Source organism: Homo sapiens, chromosome 19 (assembly GCF_000001405.40).
Source record: "Homo sapiens chromosome 19, GRCh38.p14 Primary Assembly".
Lineage (NCBI taxonomy): Eukaryota > Metazoa > Chordata > Mammalia > Primates > Hominidae > Homo > Homo sapiens.
In genome coordinates this window covers 29619009-29637357 of record NC_000019.10, presented here as the reverse complement: position 1 = coordinate 29637357, position 18349 = coordinate 29619009, and the positions used below count along the sequence as shown (strand labels likewise).

Genomic DNA, 18349 nt, shown 5'->3' with positions numbered 1-18349 from the left:
CCGCCATGTGAGCAGATGTGGTGAAGGAAGGGTGGGGGGCTGAGCTCTGGCCCTGACAGCCAGCATTGGTGTTTTCTTCTTCTCCAAGCAGCACCACAGCTTTTCTCCCCCACTGCCTGCAGACTTTTTATAATAGCAATAAGACAGCACTGGAGAAGCTCATCTTGTACGAACTCCGGGGAGTAATCATCTCATCACATTCCGGGCTGATTTGAGGCACTCATCTGGACCAAATGCCTCCCCACACCCCGGGAGCAGTTTTATGAGGCAGCAGCCAAGCCCCATCGAGGCTTATTGCTTAATTAAAAACAAATTCCCAAGTAATTTATTTTTTTTTGTTTTTCATTTTTTTCTTTTTTCTTTTTTGGCCTTCTCATAAAACCTCCAGCCACACAAAGGGTGTGGGAGAAGTCCAGAACTCAGGAGTGGAAGCTGAGATGTATGGCCCCAGTCGCTGTGCCGGCCGCTGTGCCACTTGGGGTTAGGCTGGTGTGAAATAGAAAGTCTTCCCGTGGGGCCAGACCCTGGGGAACTCTTAGAGAGGGAGGGATGTGGCAGAGGGGCACGTCAGGCAGGAAGTCATCCCTCAGCCCCTGACCTGGGGCTTTAGCATGACTGCTGAGAGTTGTGACAGCCCCTTCAGAATGCCACCACTCCCACTGGGGCCTTGCCAGGTAGAAAGGCACTTATCTTTCTGGGCTCCTGGGGAAGGCTTTAGTGCCTAAGGCCAGAGAGTCAGAGGGAGGCCCACTTCTCTGGGCTGCACCCACCCCTGCTTGGCTCTTCAAAGGTATCGTCTGAGCCCTAGGAGAGCCTGGCCTGGGACCAGGGGCCTGCATACCCACAGCCCAGCCCTGCCATGACTCAGGGTGACTTTGGGCCACTCGTTTTTCCTTCCGGGCCTCAGTTTCCCCATTGAACACGGAGAACAGGTCTTATTTGTCTCACAAGGTGATGAGGGAACCAGAGTAGCCAACAGAGCTGGATGAGCTGGGGCTTCCCTCCCACTTGCAGGGCACGAGGAAGACAGTGCTGGCCCTGGGTTTGTTTCAGACAAGGAGCCAGGAGTCCCAGCTGCCTGGCAAGGCCGGGGGGAGAGGGGCTCTCACTCCTTCTACCAGGAGTCAGTGGGAGGCAGAGAGGCCAGGAAGTGAGGGGGGAGGCAGCAGAAAGAAGTGTGTGTGCTTATATGTGTGGGAGGGTTGATCGCAAGTGTGCACATGTGTCTGTGCATGTGTGTACATGCATGTGGGAGTGTGTGTGTCCAAAGGCCCAAGTGTCTTTGTGCATTTGTCTGTGAATGGAGATTCGCATAGAAAACCACATACTCAGCCAGGTATGAGTGGCTCATGCCTGTAATCCGAGCAGTTTGGGAGGCCGAGGCAGGTGGATCACTTGAGGTCAGGAGTTTCACCTGGCAAGCATGGTGAAACTTTGCCTCTACTAAAAATACAAAAATTAGCAGGGCGTGTTGGTGGGCTCCCATAGTTCCAGCTACTCAGGAGTCTGAGGTGGGAGAATCTGAACCTGGGAGTTGGAGCTTGCAATGAGCTGAGATGGCGCCACTGCACTCTAGCCTGGGCGACAGAGCGAGACTCAAAAGAAAAAAAGAAAAAAAAGGTACATACTCTAAGGCCAAGCTGCCAGGCTTCAAATGCATTACTCTGAACAAGTGACTTAACCTCTCTGGGCCTCAATTTTCTTATCTGCAAAGTGGGATTGATATCTGGACCTCATGGAGTGGTTATAAGGATTAAATTAGTTAATATATGGAAAGTGCTCAGAATAGTGTCTGGCAAGTGCTACGTGAGTGTGTGTGCATCTCTAAGTGCATGCGTGTGTGCATGCACACCATTGCAAGGGTGTCTGTGAGCACATGTGTGTCTAGTGTAAAGGATATTCGTGTACGTGTGTGCATGTGTGTATGAGCAGACCTGTATCTATGCCTGCAGATGTGTATGGGTGTGCACTTGTGTGTGTGTTACGGGGTGTGTGTGTGTCTGTGGGTGAATAGGAGCTCCTCCGCTCTGTTGACAGTTCCCCAGGACCTGAAGGGAATCCTGCATGGTGTGGAAGACACTCACACCCCAGGCAGGCACTTGCCCTGGCCTCCACTGGGCCCTAGGTCTTCTGGCTTGGTGGATCAGAGCTCTCTGTGCCAGGGCCTGGGGCCTGACTCCAGCACACAGTGAGGAGATACTTTGCCTTCTTTGTCACTCGTGGGGCATTTCTCTTCTCAGGGACTCCACAGGGGGCAGGGCTAATGTTCTGGAAGGATTCAGATCACCTTAAGCCACATTTCTAACTGGCTCTAGGTTGCACAGCTAGCCACTGGCTACGTGGGGGATTAGTGCCATGAGGCCAGAACTTGGACAGGGGCCTGGGTGACAGTCACCAAAGCTCTGACCTAGGGAACAAACTGAGCTGGAGCAGGAGCTGCGTGAGAGCCCAGGTGTGACAAGATAGCTGGGACACAGGACAACAAGTTCTCTTTCCTGAGATGAGCTGCTAAGGACCTAAAGCCACAGCCTCTCTCATTAAGGTCAGACACAGGGTGGCCATAAGTGTGATTCCTGGCTCTGAATTGCAAGTTAGGGCTTCTTTTCTTGCACCCCCCCCGGACTAACCCAGCTGGGCTTTCCAGGTTAGCAGAAGAGGCCTTAAAGGCAGTACGGTTTTGTATTTATTTATCTTTAAAATGTGCATAGATCCATGCACAGAGGAAGAAGCAGAGCCTTCTGACCCGCCCAGGAGGCCTCCCTCAGGCACTCTCCCCAGCATCAGCTCCCTGGGGATTACCACTCTCTGCCTCCCTTTACCATGCCACGCATTTTTGAACTTTATGTGTATGGGACCATTGAGTGTGTATTTTTGTGTGTCTGTCTTCTTTCTGTCCATGCTGTGTTTGTGAGAACTGTCCACATTGTTGGTGAGGCAATAGCTTGTTCATTCACATGGCTGTATGGATTTCTGTTTGTGAATATTCCATTATCAATTTCCATTCATAAATGAACTACACTCCATTTGTCTATATGTCCAGGCTGAACATCCAGGCACTTTACATGGGACACGACTAATAATGCTCTAGGAACATTCTGGCCCATGTCTTTGGGTGAACATAGGGACCTGTTTCTGATGGGTAAATATCTGAGAGCAGAATTGCTGGGCCAGAGGTAATGCATGTCTTTGCTCTCATAGATACTGCTATAGTTTTCCAAAGTGGTTGTACCAATTTGCCAGTCCACCCACAGGGTATGAGGCTTTCAGTTGCTCCAAATTCTTGCTAGCCCTTGCATTGTTTTTCCTTTTCGTTTTAGCTGTTTTTGTGGGTTTATAATAATGTAATGTGGTTTTGGTTATAATTTTTTTTCTTTTTTATTTTTTTGAGTTGACTTGACAGGTGATTAAATAGAATTTCTTTAATGACAAATGAGGTTGAGCTTCTCTTCCTACGTTTATTGTCCATTTGCATCTTTTTGCTCATTTTTCCATTGACTTATCTGCTTTTTCCTTATTGATTTGTAAGACTTTAAAAAATAGATTCTGGATATGAATTGATTGTTGGATATGTATATTGTAAATATCTTGTCCCACTCTATGGCTTGACTTTTCTCTCACTTAAGGCAGTGTTTTGATAAAAAAAAAGTTTTTAATTTTTAAGTTCTTAACTTTTATGTTGGATAATACATTTTTTAAGTCAAACTAGAAATACACAGTGAGATTTTTGGCTGATATATTCTTTTATTTTCCACTTTTCAATTATGCCTTTATCTAGGTATATGCTATTTAGAAGCAAGGACTTCTTAAAAATTACATGTGCTATGAAATTGTCCAACTCAAGTCACATTTTCTAATAGACTTAAATTTTTTTTTTTTTTTTAGAGATAGGGTCTCATTCTGTCATCCAGGCTGGAGTGCAGTGGCACAGTCATGGCTAACTTCAGCCTGGAACTCCTGGGCTCAAGCAATCCTCCCACCTCAGCCTCCTGAGTAGTGGGGACCACAGGTGCACACCATAGCCAGCTTCCCATAGCGTTTTTTCTTCTTCTTTTCTTTTTTTTGAGACAAAGCCTCACTCTGTTGCCCAGGCTGGAGTATAGTGGCACAATCTCAGCTCACTGCAACCTCCACCTCCCAGGTTCAAGCAGTTTTCGTGCCTCAGCCTCCCAAGTACCTGGGATTATAGGTGCGTGCCACCACGCTTGGCTGATTTTTTTAGTTTTTATTTTTAGTAGAGATGGGTTTTGTCATGTTGGCCATGCTGGTCTTGAACTCCTGGCTTCAAATGATCTGCCTGCCTTGGCCTCCCAAAGTGCTGGGATTACAGGTGTGAACTACCACGCTCGGCCATCCTACAGACTTTAATATTAAAAATAAGTGATGAGTCTTCTAGAAATAATTTTGTTTGAAATTATGAAAAACCACTGGGAAAAAGTAGCAAACCTTTACATGAGAAGTCATGATTTGTGCAAGATGAGTGTGGCTGATATTGGGGTACAAACCAGGGATAACTTGTTCACAGAGCTGAAAAGAAAACAGTTCTTTTCTCTATTTTTAGAATTCTCAATTGTCTCCTGGGATTACAATTCCTATAGACTAGCTGAGCCCACACACTTTTCTTCCACTTGCTTTCCTCCCCTCTCATCCCCATCATCACTTCAGAAATGAGAGCCAAGTGGCCAAAATCAGCTCTTGGAAGATTGCAATCAAGAGCAGAGATCTTAAACCACTTCAAAAAAAGGCAGCCCTTCCTGGGAAATTGAAGGGTCATTCATTAGTATCTGCAGAAAAACATTCCAGAGAAGAGACTGCAAAAAGCCACTGTCGCAGAAGGGGAGGACTTGACTGTTGATCACGGTGGGCACCCAAAGGGTACCGGAGCAGGGACTCCCAGAGGGTGACCACAGAAAGGCAGGTGGTCCAGGGGTCTCTCGGCTTTTCTTCTTCTTCTTCTTCTTTTTTTTTTTTTAAGATGGAGTCTCGCTCTGTTGCACAGGCTGGAGTGCAGTGGCGTGATCTCAGCTCACTGCAACTTCCGCCTCCCAGGTTCAAGAAATTCTCCTGTCTCAGCCTCCTGAGTAGCTGGGATTACAGGTGCCCACCACCAGGCCCAGGTAATTTTTGTATTTTTAGTAGAGATGGGATTTCACCATATTGGCCAGGCTGCTCTCAAACTCCTGACCTCAGGCGATCCACCCACCTCGGCCTCCCAAAGTGCTGGGATTACAGGTGTGAGCCACTGCGCCCAGCCTGGCTTTTCTTCTTTGAGGAGTTAGCAGGGCCTGGTGGTGGCCTGGAATGACCCCACTGAATTTGTGTAGTTTTGTTGGGGAAAGCAGTGGCTCAGACATCCTGGGTTCAAATCCCTACTGTTCCATCTTCCCAGGGGGGGACAAGCTCCTGAGGCTCACGGGTGAATCTGGATGTTCCTAATTGCCTCTTGAAGCTGTTGCTAAGATTTGAAGGGGTTACCTGTAGAGCACTCAGTAGTGACTTAATCAGTGCTCTGTAGGAGGCACTGCTGGTGCCCTGCCCATAGCCTGCAAATTAAAGTTTCTGCATCTTTTTACCTGAGGGCATTCTGCAAAGCTCCAGTGTGCAACTGTGCCTACCTCATGGTCATCAGGAAATGCCAGGGGATTAACACCTTCTGGGATGGCCCCTACCAAGTGGCACTGGTGGATCAATACCCCAACTCCTTCACCTCAGATGGGATCATGGAATGGGTGTTTTATGCAGTCTCCCAGAGTACCAGGGAGGCCTTGGACCTCCAGAATGCTGAGAAGATGGCTGCTGCGTCACTTCCGCCTCCCAAATCTCAGGGAATGTCTCTTGTGGCCCAACCCATGCGAACTGGGAACTGCATAGGGAAGGACATGCTGGGAAATGCAGCTGCAGCTCATGTGGGTCCACACAATACCAATCCTCCCCAAGGACCCCTCATTAGGCTGCACCTGTTACTTCAGGAGCTCAGAGGAATGGATACATTATTATTATTATTGCCACCCAGCATCCAGCTCCCTCCTTTTAAAAAATAGCACCTTGGCTCGGTGCAGTGGCTCACACCTGTAATCCCAGCACTTTGGGAGGCTGAGGTGGATGGATCACTTGAGGCTAGGAGTTCGAGACCAGCCTGGCCAACGTGGTGAAACCCCATCTCTACTGAAAATACAAAAAAATTAGCCAGGCATGGTGGTGCACACCTGTAGTTCCAGCTACTTGGGAGGCTGAGGCATGAGGATTGCTTGAACCTGTGAGGCGGAGGTTGCAGCAAGCCAAGATGACGCCATTGCACTCCAGCCTGGGAAACAGAGTGAGACCCCACCTCAAAAAAAAAAAAAGTACCTTGATTTCCTTTAGAGGAACAGCCTCCTTCCTGACACTCACTTTCCAGAACTCTGTTTCCAGAACAGAAGCCTATGATGCAGATGTGGCCAATCAGTGCCCTGGGGCTCCAGCAGCAGTGCAGGAATGCGGAACTGATCATAAAGATCCAACCAGCATGAAGAAATTCTGACACTGGAGGAAGGGCTACCGGGAGAAAACATTTCTCTTTTCCCCAGCCAGCTGTCAGCTAGCCTGAGAGAATGTGAGGCTGGGGCTACCATCTTGCCACTATGAAGAGAGAACCTGCTGAGCAAGGAGGCAACACAGAGCCAGATATGGAGAGAAATAAGCAGTCTTGGAATGCTGTTTCATCCTCTGGATCAAACCATTCCTGAAGGTAGCACTTTCTATTCTGACCCTTCAATTACGGGGTTCATTGAATTCCCTTTTTGTTTAGCCAGTTTACATTCGGTTCTATGTCACTTGCAAACAAAATCCTTCCAACAGATGCACTCGATGGCCACAGGCCAAAGTCAGTGTCTCCTGGAGTGGCAGCTCTGAGACGTGTCCACATGGGACCACAGTGTAGAGAAGCCACACACCACCATGGTGCTCCTGAACCAGAAGAGATCATGGGCTTCTATAGAGGGGGGTGAGCCAGGTACAAGGCAGTGGAGTAGGAAAACCTGGGCTGGGGCCAGCCACAGTGACTCACACCTGTAAACCCAGCGCTTTGGGAAACAAAGGTGGAAGGATCGCTTGAACCCAGGGGTTTGAGAACAGCCTGCACAACAGAGACCTCCTCTTTAACAAAAATAAAATAATTTTCCAGGTGTGCCTGTAGTCCCAGCTACTTGGGAGACTGAGGAGGGTGGATTGCTTGAGCCCAGGAGTTTGAGGCTGCAGTGAGCCATGATTGGGTCACTGCGCTCCAGGTTGAGCAACAGAGCCAGGCCCTGTCTCAAAAGAAAATGAAAAAACAAAAAATACCCCTAGGCTGGAGTTCAGCTCCAAACTTGACAATCTGATCCTGTGGGCTTGCAACCCTGCTCCTAAGCAGCATTTTTCTATTTATCTACCTGTCACTGTCCCTCAGGCCTGGTGCTGTTGCAGAGCTTCCTGGAATAGACCAGTGCAGTCCCCTTGCTGTCTAGAGACCTTCATTTTTCTTTTTTCTTTTTCTTTTTTTTTTTTTTGAAATGGAGTCTTGCTCTTGTCACCCAGGCTGGAGTGCAATGGCATGATCTCAGCTCACTGCAACCTCCACCTCCCAGGTTCAAGCAATTCTTCTGCCTCGGCCTCCCGAGTAGCTGGGATTACAAGTTCCTGTAAAATTAGCCTGGCTAATTTTTGTACATTTAGAAGTGATGGGGTTTCACCATGTTGGCCAGGCTGGTCTTGAACTCCTGGCCTCAGCCGATCCATCCAGTTTGGCCTCCCAAAGTGCTGGGATTACAGGCATGATCCACCGCGCCTGGCCAAGACCTCCATTTTTCACATATAATTAAAATAAAATGTGAGGAAATAGAAGCGACCTGACACATGTGCGATGCACTTTGGTATTTTACTTTTCATTTCTATGGAAATGTGAGTCCGAGGCACACCCTGCAAGGCATGCTGGGACAGAAACCTGGCCTGTGATGGCTCCTGGGTGGGTTGGTCCAGGGACCCTTCTCAGAAGCACCATCCTGCCCCAGAGACGGCCCTGAAATGACCCAAAAGTTCCTGATCACACCAGCTGCGGGCACATTCACTGATTCACTTACTCATTCTCCGAGCCCCTGCATCGAGCTGGCCTTTGCGCTGAGCCTGGGACTCAGGGGCGAATTCATCAGAGCTTATAGTCAAGGAGGCAGACACATGTTTGTGTTTATAACACAGCATAGAAAGTGGTGGCAAATCCAGGCTCCTGGTGTCTGGGTCCTTGGTGGAGGGGCACCTGGCCTAGCCTGCAGCCCTGTGAGTGGCCGTGGTCACCTCGGAGACCTGGGTGAGACACTGCTGTTACAAAGCCTGAGATTCTCAGGGTGATTTCTGGAGGTTCTGAACTGTCCATTCAACAACAGAAAGCACCAGGACAGCAAATGGCACGTGTTTACCCTGTGCCCGGCCCCCATTACTCCCACAGCACAGGGTGGATACTCCTCATTCTACAGCAAGGAAGCTCTGGCTCCCAGAGGTGACTTGCCCTAGGCCACGTAGATTAAAAATACACCGATAATATATGATGCTGGCCAGGCACGGTGGCTCACACCTGTAATCCCAGCGCTTTGGGAGGCTGAGGCAGGCAGGTCACCTGAGGTCAGGAGTTTGAGACCAGCCTGGGCAACATGACGAAACCCCGTCTCTACTAAAAATACAAAAACTAGCTGGGTGTAGTGGCACATGCCTGTAATCCCAGCTATTTGGGAGGCTGAGGCACGAGAATCGCTTGAACCCGGGAAGATTAGGTTGCAGTGAGCCGAGATCACGCCACTGCACTCCAGCCTGGGTGACAGAGTGAGACCCTGTCCCTCTCTCTGTCTATATATGTATATACTGATGGCAAGGCCCCACCCCAGGGATTCTGGATTAACTTTGGGAGGTGAAGTCTGGGCTTTGGTGTTCTTAAAACTCCCTAGGTGATTGTAACAGGTAGCCAGGATTGAGCAGCACCGAGTTGAACATAGGTTATTTCTTTTTTGTTGGCTTTATTTTCATTTTTATTTTTTTTGAGATGGAGTCTCCCTCTGTCTAGAGGGACACTCTGTCTCAGGCTAGAGTGCAGTGGCACAGTCCCAGCTTACTGCAACCTCCACCTCCTGGGTTCAAGTGATTCTCCTGCCTTAACCTCCCGAGTAGCTGGGATTACAGGTGCCCACCACCAGGCCTGGCTTCTTTTTGTATTTTTAGTAGAGATGGTGTTTTGCCATGTTGGCCAGGCTGGCCTTGAACTCCTGACCTCAGGTGATCCGCCCACCTCGGCCTCCCAAAGTGCTGGGATTACAGGCGTGAGCCACTGTGCCTGGCCTTGGACACAGGCTCTTTCTAAGAAAGGCCAGCCCCACCTCTTCCTGCAAGTGCTACTGTGACAGAGGGAGGGCTGGGGTGGGCGGCCAACGCAGGGCCCAGCCTCCTCCCACAGGACGGAAGCAGACCAGCCATGCAGAGTCAGCTTCTCTCTCCAGCACTGTGGAGATGGTGACTGGTGGACTTAGGGTGGTCTGGGAAGGCCTAAAACATCGGTCTGCCCCCTGAGGAGCTAACAGTCTGCTATCGACTTAATATTTTGTGTCCACCACCAATTCATATATTGAACCAAATGCCCAATGTGAGGCTGTTAAGAGGCGGGGGCTGTGGGATGGGATTAGGTCCTGAGGATGGAGTGTTTATAGGGATTAACGCCCTATAAAAGAGGCCAGACCGGGAGCAGTGGCTCACACCTGTAATCTCAACACTTTGGGAGGCCGAGGTGGGCGGATCACTTGAGGTCAGGAGTTTGAGAGCAGCCTGGGCAACATGGCGAAACCCCATCACCACAGAAAATACCGAAATTAGCTAGGTGTGGTGGTGCATGCCCATAATCCCAGCTATTCGGGAGGCTGAGGCACAAGAATCGCTTGAACCCAGGAACCCAGGAAGCAGAGGTTGCAGTGAGCCAAGATTGCATCTCTGTACTCTAGCCTGGGCAACAGAGTGAGACTCTGTCTCAAAAAAAAAAAAAAAATGTGGCCACAGAGAGCTCTCTTTATTTTATTTTATTTATTTATTTTTAGATGGAGTTTTGCTCTTGTCACCTAGGCTGGAGTGAAATGGGGCAATCTTGGCTCACTGAAACCTCTGCCTCCCAGGTTTAAGCAATTCTCCTGCCTCAGCTTCCTAAGTAGCTGAGACCGCAGGCACACCCACCACTCCCGGCTAATTTTTGTATTTTTAGTAGAGATAGGGTTTCATCATGTTGGCCTGGCTGGTCTCGAACTCCTGACCTCAGGTGATCCACCCGCCTCAGCCTCCCAAAGTGTTGGAATTATAGACGTGAGCCACCACGCTCGGCCGAGAGCTCTCTTATCCCTTCTGCCACACCCAGTGTGCCACACCCAGTGGGGACACAGTGAGAAGAGACGTGTCTATGAGGAAGGAGCCCTTGATAGACACCAAATCTGCCAGAACCTTGATCTTGGACTTCCCAGCTTCCAGGACTGTGAATAATAAATTTCTATTCTTTATCCATCATCTAGTCTTTGGTATTTTTGTTATAACAGCCCCAGTGCACTAAGACACATAGAATGGGGAAGACCATCCTGGGCCCATGCCCTGAGACCAAGCCTAGCTGGTGGGGCTGGAGTAGGGTGACCAGCTGCTCTGGTTTGTGCTAAAACTAGGGAAGGCCAGGGCAAGACTGGCCAGGATGGGCCACTCGCTGGGAGCCAGAGGAGAGGAGGCAGCTGCCTGGCATGAGGTGAGGCTGGAGGAGGGCAGGGGCCAGGCCACATGGGCCTCATAGGATTTTATTCTGTGTATAGCGCTCTGGGAGAAACACCTCCTCTGTGTCTCTGTTCCAGAGTCCTAGGGACTGTTGCACCGGGGGTCCGTGGAGCACTCGGGTCTGCAAGGAAAGACCCCGTCTATTAGCGTTTCCAGGCCAAATTGAGGGTTGGGCTGCTATTTCTCACGGCCCAGTAACGAGATGCAGATGAACTGGGGAGGAAGGGAGTTTTTATTTCTGTAACCAGTTATGGGGAAGAAGGCCTAGGAAATGTCACCAGACCAACTCAAAATTCGGGTTTCAGAGTTTATATACCTTCTAAGCTATATGTTTATGTGTAAGTGTACATTCATCTAAAGACATAAGTGATTAACTTATTTATTTATTTTTTGAGACGGAGTCTTGCTCTGTTACCCAGGCTGGAGTGCAGTGGTGCAATCTCAGCTCACTGCAACCTCCGCCTCCCGGGTTCAAGTGATTCTCCTGCCTCAGCCTCCTGAGTAGTTGGGATTACAGGCGCACGCCACCACACCAGCTAATTTTTGTATTCTTAGGAGAGACGGAGTTTTACCATGTTGGCCAGGCTGGTTTCGAACTCTTGACCTCGTGATCCACCCACCTCGGCCTCCCAAAGTGCTGGGATTAGAGGCGTGAGCCACCGCGCCCAGCCCAACTTCTTTTAATCTAGAACTAAGATCTGAGTCCTGAAGATCTTCCTCTGAAGCCTCAGTAAATTTACTTAATCTAAATGGGTCCAGGTGCTGGGGCGATTACCCTTATTTTGTCTCCTGCTAAATTATGGAGGTTTGGGGAGTTCCTTCAGATCCCCAGTAAACTTGTTTGTGGAGGTCTGGGGAGTTTCTTCAGGCCTCCGATACAACTTGTTTAATCTTAAAATGGGTCCTGTTAATTCCTTTGTTACTTTGTCATGCTTCAAGGCCCAGGAAAGGCCTGGGCAAAACTCCTGGTGGGCTTTTGTTACACTCCAGCCTTTGTATAGGGCACTGGCTCTATCAGCTTTTAATATTTAACTTCGCCACTCAGTCAATGCTGAAACAGGTGTTACAGAGGCCTGCGTTAGTGAGACCTGGCCTGCCACATTAGTGCAGGGTCTGTCACCTGATTCGGAGACCAGCGCCTGAGCTGCCCTTCTTCACCGAGCCCATTAGCTCTTCTGTCTTCATTATTTAGGGCCACAACTTACCTTTTACTCAATGGAGCCAGAATGGGGCTGCTACCATAAAAACCCCTGGAATGGGGCCCAGGCGGCTGGCAGGGCCTCCTCCGAGAAACATATGCCACGGTGTGGGGACCATAACTATCATTTACATTAATTAGGCAGCCGGATAATAGGGTGTTCAATAGTTATTTTATTCTGTAAATTCTGCGGCAAGCACCGCCAGGAGGCAGGAGCTGGCAGGGGTTCATGCCATGCAAAAAATAGTCCTGTTCCCACCCTGGCAGGCAACGGGGCTTTACATTTATGGTGAAAGGAAGTCTTCCTCAAGTTCTGGAAGAATAGCTGATTTGGTGAGAGGGGACTTGCCATGTGACTCACCCACTGGCCATGTGATCCGGGGATAATTCATCTCAGTGTCCTCAGCCAGCCACCAGTGCTGACTACCTGGGGGTATTCTGGGGTCCTACTGAGAATGCAGCCATGGAGGGGACAGGTGGGTGGGTTTTCTTTTTTTTTTTTTTTCAGAGACAGGGTCTTGCTCTGTCACCCAGGCTGGAGTGCAGTGGTGCAATCACAGCTCACTACAGCCTCAACCTCCCAGGCTTAAGTGATCCTCCTGCCTCAGCCTTCCAAAGTGCTGGGATTAAAGGCATAAGGCACCACACCTGGCCCAAGGGGACAGTTTGGGAGAATGCCCGACCCCTATGTTTGGAAGATGGTACTGTATTCTGTCAGAACCCTCTGAGTTTTTGGGTGATACCACACACACAAACTTTATTGGCTGTGCTTTATTCCTGATGCTCATTTTACAGATGAGGACGCCAAGGCATGGGTGGAGGCTCACCCTTGACTGAACTCACAAAGCTAAGCCAGACAAGGCTGCAGCCTGCCCAACACCCGGAGGTATGCCCACACGGCTCCCCACCCCTGCGACCCAGCTCTGCCATCTTCCTCCTTATTTCTGTCTGCCCAAGGGTGTCTCCCCACCTGCCTGCTCCCTTTTCCCCTGAGAAGACCTCAGCTGCAGCCCCTGCCTCCTTGGCCACGCTGGCCTTGTCCACAGCCCCTTGTTCAGCAGCTTGGACGGCTGGAGCCATCTCCACTCGCCTAGTGGGGCTGCCACCCTTCAGGGCACTGGGCTGTGAGTAGACACCCAGACCGAGGCTGGAGGGGCTGTGTCCCTGAGGCCCTGTTCGTGGGTGCTGTGTGCACCTCTCAAACCTGTTTCCGTGCATCCCCAAGGCCGACACCCTGGTTAAGCTGCAGACGTCTAGCACCGGCCACAACCTCCTAGCTGGTCTTCCGGCCCTTGGCCTCTCCAGTTCACTGCCAGTCTTCCTCACTTCCTGCTGCCCTGCCTGGTGCCTGAAGCCTCCAGCCTCCTCAGCGCCATGCCCCTGCAGGCCCCACTTCCTACCCCAGCTCCTCTGCAGGAGGCCTCAGCCTGCCTGACTCCAGCTCAGCCCTCCGGCTTGTCTTAAGTTCAGGTCCTGAGGGAAGCCAGCCTACTTTCAGACCTGCCAGGGGCCTCTGCCACAGGCCCTGTTCCCCTCCCACCGCACCCTGTGGCCCCAGGGTCCTGTCATCACCACTCACTCTCTCACTACTCAATTGGAAACCTCACAGGGCGGGACCAGGAGGGCTGTGGCAACCACGCCCTAGTGACAGGGCTGCAGAGCACTTGGTCCCTGGAGTTCTGGGGTAGCGGAAGAGCCCGTATTTTGAAAGGAGGGAGCTGTTAAAATTGTGAGTTTGGTGACATACTGCATTTCTTAGGAATGTGGGTTTCCTTGCTTTAAATCTGTGATTTTTCAAGCAAGAGCCACTTAGGGTAACCTGGGCATTACCATTTTTATTTTTTTTGAGACAGAGTCTCGATCTGTCCCCCATGCTGGAGTGCAATGGTGCTATCTCAGCTCACTGCAACCTCCGCCTCCTGGGTTCAAGCAATCCTCCTGCCTCAGCCTCTTGAGTAGCTGGGATTACAGGTGCCTGCCACCACGCCCAGCTTGTTTTTGTATTTTTAGTAGAGACCGGGTTTCACCATGTTGGCCAGGCTAGCCTTGAACTCCTAACCTCAAGTGATCCACCCGCCTCGGCCTCCCAAAGTGCTGAGATTACAGACATGAGCCATCATGCCTGGCCTGGCATTACCATTAAGAAATGAGACTGCTGGAGAGATGCTCAAATGATTTCAGATATTTATTAAGCACCCACATAATAGTCCAAATGGTTCTTCTACAAACATTTTAAATTGAAGTATAACATATGCCCTGAGAAAACACACATCCTCTGTTTGCAATCTCCCCTGCCTTAGCCAGCAAGCGCTCTGTCTCCAGCTCCCAGGCCACGGAGCCCCATCTTCCATGGGGCTAGGTAGCCCCCTAAAGATGACTTAACACAGCCTGTTCTGCACACAGAGCAGCCAGCTTGCATTTAGGGCAGTGATGGGATGCTGGTACATGTGTAACAAGCCCTGGTTTGTAGCATAGTGTAAATTGCTGTGTAAATGTTCCCACCATGAGGGTTGCAGGGTGCCGGCATGAATGTGCCGTCTGCAGGAGGTGCACACATCAGCTCTCATGAGCCAGCACAAGCCCCTGTGGCACAGCACCTGTTTGGGGCCTGTGTTTTTTTATACAAAGCATTATAATCGCACACTTTTTTGGGAGAGCAGGGCAACTGAGGATGCTTTCCGTCTCACATTCGCTGCAAGGCGAGCCTCCACTGGCAGCACTCTACAGGCAGGACAGAGCCACTGGCAGCACTCTCTACAGCGTCCTTTCTCTTTCCTCCCCTCCCTCCCTCTCTTTTGGTAGAGGATACAGTTTAATTTGTGTAGATTAAATGTGCCTGCAATAAACACCACACTCCCTTTCTTCACGTTCTCTGTGGTTGGAACCGAAGGTCTCGGGGAACTTGGGCCTTGAACTTGGGTTTCCTGACTCGGGTTTCCTGCTGGGCTCAGCCTCTCCAGGCCAGGCTATGCAGCGCCAGCCATAGCTGCTCCCGCCAGACCCTGGGGCTTCATGGGGGAAACTGAAAGGGGCAGAGAAGCGCGGGCCACACTTGCTGCACGTCACAGCTGTTGATGGAGCATAACCTCCTCGGTCTGCATAGCTGGGGTGCCAGGGCCCAGTGGCACAGGGCTGCCTTCTCACCCGCGGCTCCTGCTACCAGGGGTGCCCACCGACAAGGAAGGGGGGGTGGCACGTTGGACTCAGGATGTGCAGCTGCCCTGCCCTGGGCAAGCCACACGGGCTCATCTGGCCCAGACAGGGGTCACTGACCAGCACCACTTGCAGTTGCTGTGTGCCAACCCTTATTCAACATTATTAGAGGCACATCCTGGGCTCATTTTTTCTTTTTGGGTCAGAAAACAAATATTTACTGAGCACTTATTATATGCAAGGCAGTGTTCTCCCCTGCAGGGGGCTTACAATGGTTATGGCGGCGAACACCATGGGCAGTGTCCCAGCGTCCGAGCAGCTCACATTCCAGTGGAAGAAAATGATATGAAACAGGCAGATATGGTTGCACTGGGGACTGAGAAGTGGTACACAAAACATAAGACTGCTGGATGCAGTGGCTCGCGCTTGTAATTCTAGCGCTTCGGGAGGCTGAGGCAGGAGGATTGCTTAAGGCCAGGAGTTTGAGACCAGCCTGGGCAACACAGCAAGACCCCCAGCTCTTCAAAAAAACAAGCAAACAAAAATTAGCCAGGCATGGTGGCATGTACCTCTGGTCCCATCTACTTGAGGGGTTGAGGTGCGAGGATCGCTTAAGTCAGGGAGGTTGAGGCTGAAGTGAGCTATGATCACACCACTGCACTCCAGCCTGGGTGACAGAGCGAGACCCTGTCTCAAAAAAAAAGGAAAAGGAAATATCAGACAGAGTAATGTGACAGAGTGACTGGTTGGGGTGGGGGCTGCAGAGCTAGGATGATGGGGCCTTCCCTGTGTGCAGAGCTGAACGCAGGGAGGCTGCCTGCAGATTGAGGGGTCAGGAGAAAGCTCGAGAGGAAGGAATGGCAGGCACAGATGTGCACGGGGACAATCGCATGCTTGGGGGTGTAGAGAGGCACAGGGTGCAGCGGGAAGGTGGACCACGATGGCAGGGGTGGGCTGGGGTCTGATCTGGAAGGGCCTTGATGATGCCGATCAGGGGCTGGCTCTCATTCTGCGTGCAGCAGGAAGTCGCTTGTGGGTTTTCAGCGGGAGAGGCACCCCGAGTCATGTTTCACAAAGGTCACCCGGGCTACAGTGAGGCCAGGCGTGGATGCAGGGAGGCCAGCGGGGGGCTGTGGCTGTGGCTGGGTGCTGGCAGGTGGGTGGAAGGGGGCTGGAGCAGCAGGTGGTGGGAGGGTTGCAAGGAGGGCCACCATGTCGTGATGAAAGGTTGGTGGGGGCGTGAAAGCAAGGGAGGAATCAGGATGGCTCCTTGGTTTCCCGTGTGAGCATCCAAGAGGCGAGGGGCCTCCGCAGAAGCGCGGGTGGAAGGAAGGGAAGAGAAGGGAAGTCCGTCATGCTGTGTGCAGCCCACCATGCTGGGCTGCCTGTTAGATCTCCAGGTGGAGCCTGGTGGGCAGCTTTCTCATTTCCTCAACAGTCACAGAACACTGAATACAGTCAGATACACTCTGGATGAGTGAGGGTATGGCAGTGAGGAAAACAGTCCTGTCCTTAGGAACTTCCGTTCTAGCTGGCAGGAGGCAGATGGTAAACCAAGTTACACATGTGGGTCTGGTGGATCTGAAGTGGTGGACGAGACAGCTATGGAGGGAATGGGGAAAGAAGTCCAAAGGCAGAGCTCAGGGCATTCTAACACTGAGAAGTTCTGCAGAGGAGCTCCCAAAGGACAGTGAGAGGGAGTAGCCAGGGAGGCAGGAGGAAAGTTGGGAGTGTGGGGATAAGAGGTGTTCCAGGAGGAAGGAAGGGATGACCTGTTAAATGCCGATGAGAGGCCAGGCAAGGCAGAGGCGGAGAACCGACCACTGGCTCTGGAGAGACGCAGTCACTTGAGTGAGAGTGGCTTAGTGGGGCGGTGGAGGCAAAAGAATGGAATGTTTTCCATTTCATCCTGCTCCCGGCCTGTCCCAGGAAATCCTTCCCTATCCCAGTCTGTTGCATTTCACCCAGTCTGTGCATCTATCTGGCGTTTTGTGAGTCTCTGGGTGAGGTCCTATATCCTCCTCCATCTCCCTCCTAAGCCAGTCCCTCCTCCAGGAGCTCTGATGGATCAGGCCACTTTTTCTTTTTCTTTCTTTCTTGTTTTTTTTTAGAGATAGGGTCTCATCTGTCATCCAGGCTGGAGTGCAGTGGCACAATCATGGCTTACTGCAACCTCAACCTCTTGGGCTCAAGTGATCTTCCCACCTCAGCCTCCTGAGTAGCTGGGATTATAGGCATATGCCACCATGTGTAGCTCAACTTTTAAATTTTTTTTTGTAGACATGGGGTCTTGCTATGTTGCCCAGGCTGGTCTCAAACTCCCAGACTCAAGCAATCCTCTTGCCTCAGTCTCCCAAAGTGCTGGGATTATAGGCTCACGTGAGCCACCACGCCTGGCCCAGCAAACGTTTTCTGTAAAAGGCATAGGGAAGGGCAGGTCTTTGCTCCTGAGACCTGCCTCCTATGGCTGGAGGTTATCTTTTATGGGCAAAGTGGACCAAGACACAGAATAGCTGAATCCCACTTGGGGCCTGTCCATTTCAGATGCCCTCTAGGACAGCAGCGCCCACCCTCCTGTGAACACAGCCTATCTCTGCGCCTGTCTAGTTAGCAAGGCTTGTCCTTTACAGCTCAGGAAAAATTACCAAGAATGTTATTGACTCTAATTTTAATTTGTCTAGCACTCTTGTTAATGATGTCTATTTAAGACATCCATTAAAGGCTCACGAGGTTAATTAAATGGACAATTCCAATACAGTTCTATTAGAACCCCTTCTATTAATATTGTAGACATTTAACAGATGTCTTAATTAGACATTATAGCTAAGAAATGCAAACTAAATTAAAGCTAAAGCCATTGTCCAGAAAGCGAGCTTTTTTACCAGAATTTACGGCTTTGTGGAGGGATGTTCCTGTTTACTCTTTGGAACCTGGGAGATCAGTCATTTGATGATCTTTCCCAGCCTCCAGAAAACGTTGGCCTGAGAGTCCCAAGTCTGAAATCACAGTCCAGACCTCAGAGCTGGAAGAGACTTTAGACACCATCTGGAGCCCAGCGTCCTCAAACATCAGTGATCAGCTGGGGTCTTAGGTAAACACACAGCTATCTGGGTCCCGCCGCCAGAGGCTGATTCAGTAGGTCTGAGGTGCAGCCCAGGGTCTGGCTGCTCTGAATGTGCACCCACTAACTCTGATATGGGAAGTTCC

General features: G+C 50.7%; 1 long non-coding RNA gene across 1 annotated transcript in view, besides 4 other annotated features; it reads left to right on the top strand.

Annotated features, from left to right (window-relative positions):
- LOC105372353 (uncharacterized) overlaps positions 1-7162 on the top strand; it is a 35060-nt gene extending 27898 nt beyond the window's left edge. The window contains exons 6-7 of the long non-coding RNA XR_935896.3: positions 6409-6724; positions 6835-7162. This is a non-coding gene — a long non-coding RNA (uncharacterized LOC105372353). The remainder of the gene's footprint in view (positions 1-6408; positions 6725-6834) is intronic.
- Positions 10262-10556: a silencer, noted in NCBI's record as "tiled region #12961; HepG2 Repressive non-DNase unmatched - State 23:Low, and K562 Repressive DNase matched - State 8:EnhW". NCBI's record gives its function as "represses a minimal TATA promoter and a strong SV40 promoter by Sharpr-MPRA in HepG2 and K562 cells {active_cell/tissue: HepG2 | K562}" and the evidence as "EXISTENCE:reporter gene assay evidence [ECO:0000049][PMID:27701403]".
- Positions 13301-13350: an enhancer, noted in NCBI's record as "active region_14409". NCBI's record gives its function as "activates an Ori minimal core promoter by ATAC-STARR-seq in GM12878 lymphoblastoid cells {active_cell/tissue: GM12878}" and the evidence as "EXISTENCE:reporter gene assay evidence [ECO:0000049][PMID:35858748]".
- Positions 15107-15166: an enhancer, noted in NCBI's record as "active region_14408". NCBI's record gives its function as "activates an Ori minimal core promoter by ATAC-STARR-seq in GM12878 lymphoblastoid cells {active_cell/tissue: GM12878}" and the evidence as "EXISTENCE:reporter gene assay evidence [ECO:0000049][PMID:35858748]".
- Positions 16258-16307: a silencer, noted in NCBI's record as "silent region_10463". NCBI's record gives its function as "represses an Ori minimal core promoter by ATAC-STARR-seq in GM12878 lymphoblastoid cells {active_cell/tissue: GM12878}" and the evidence as "EXISTENCE:reporter gene assay evidence [ECO:0000049][PMID:35858748]".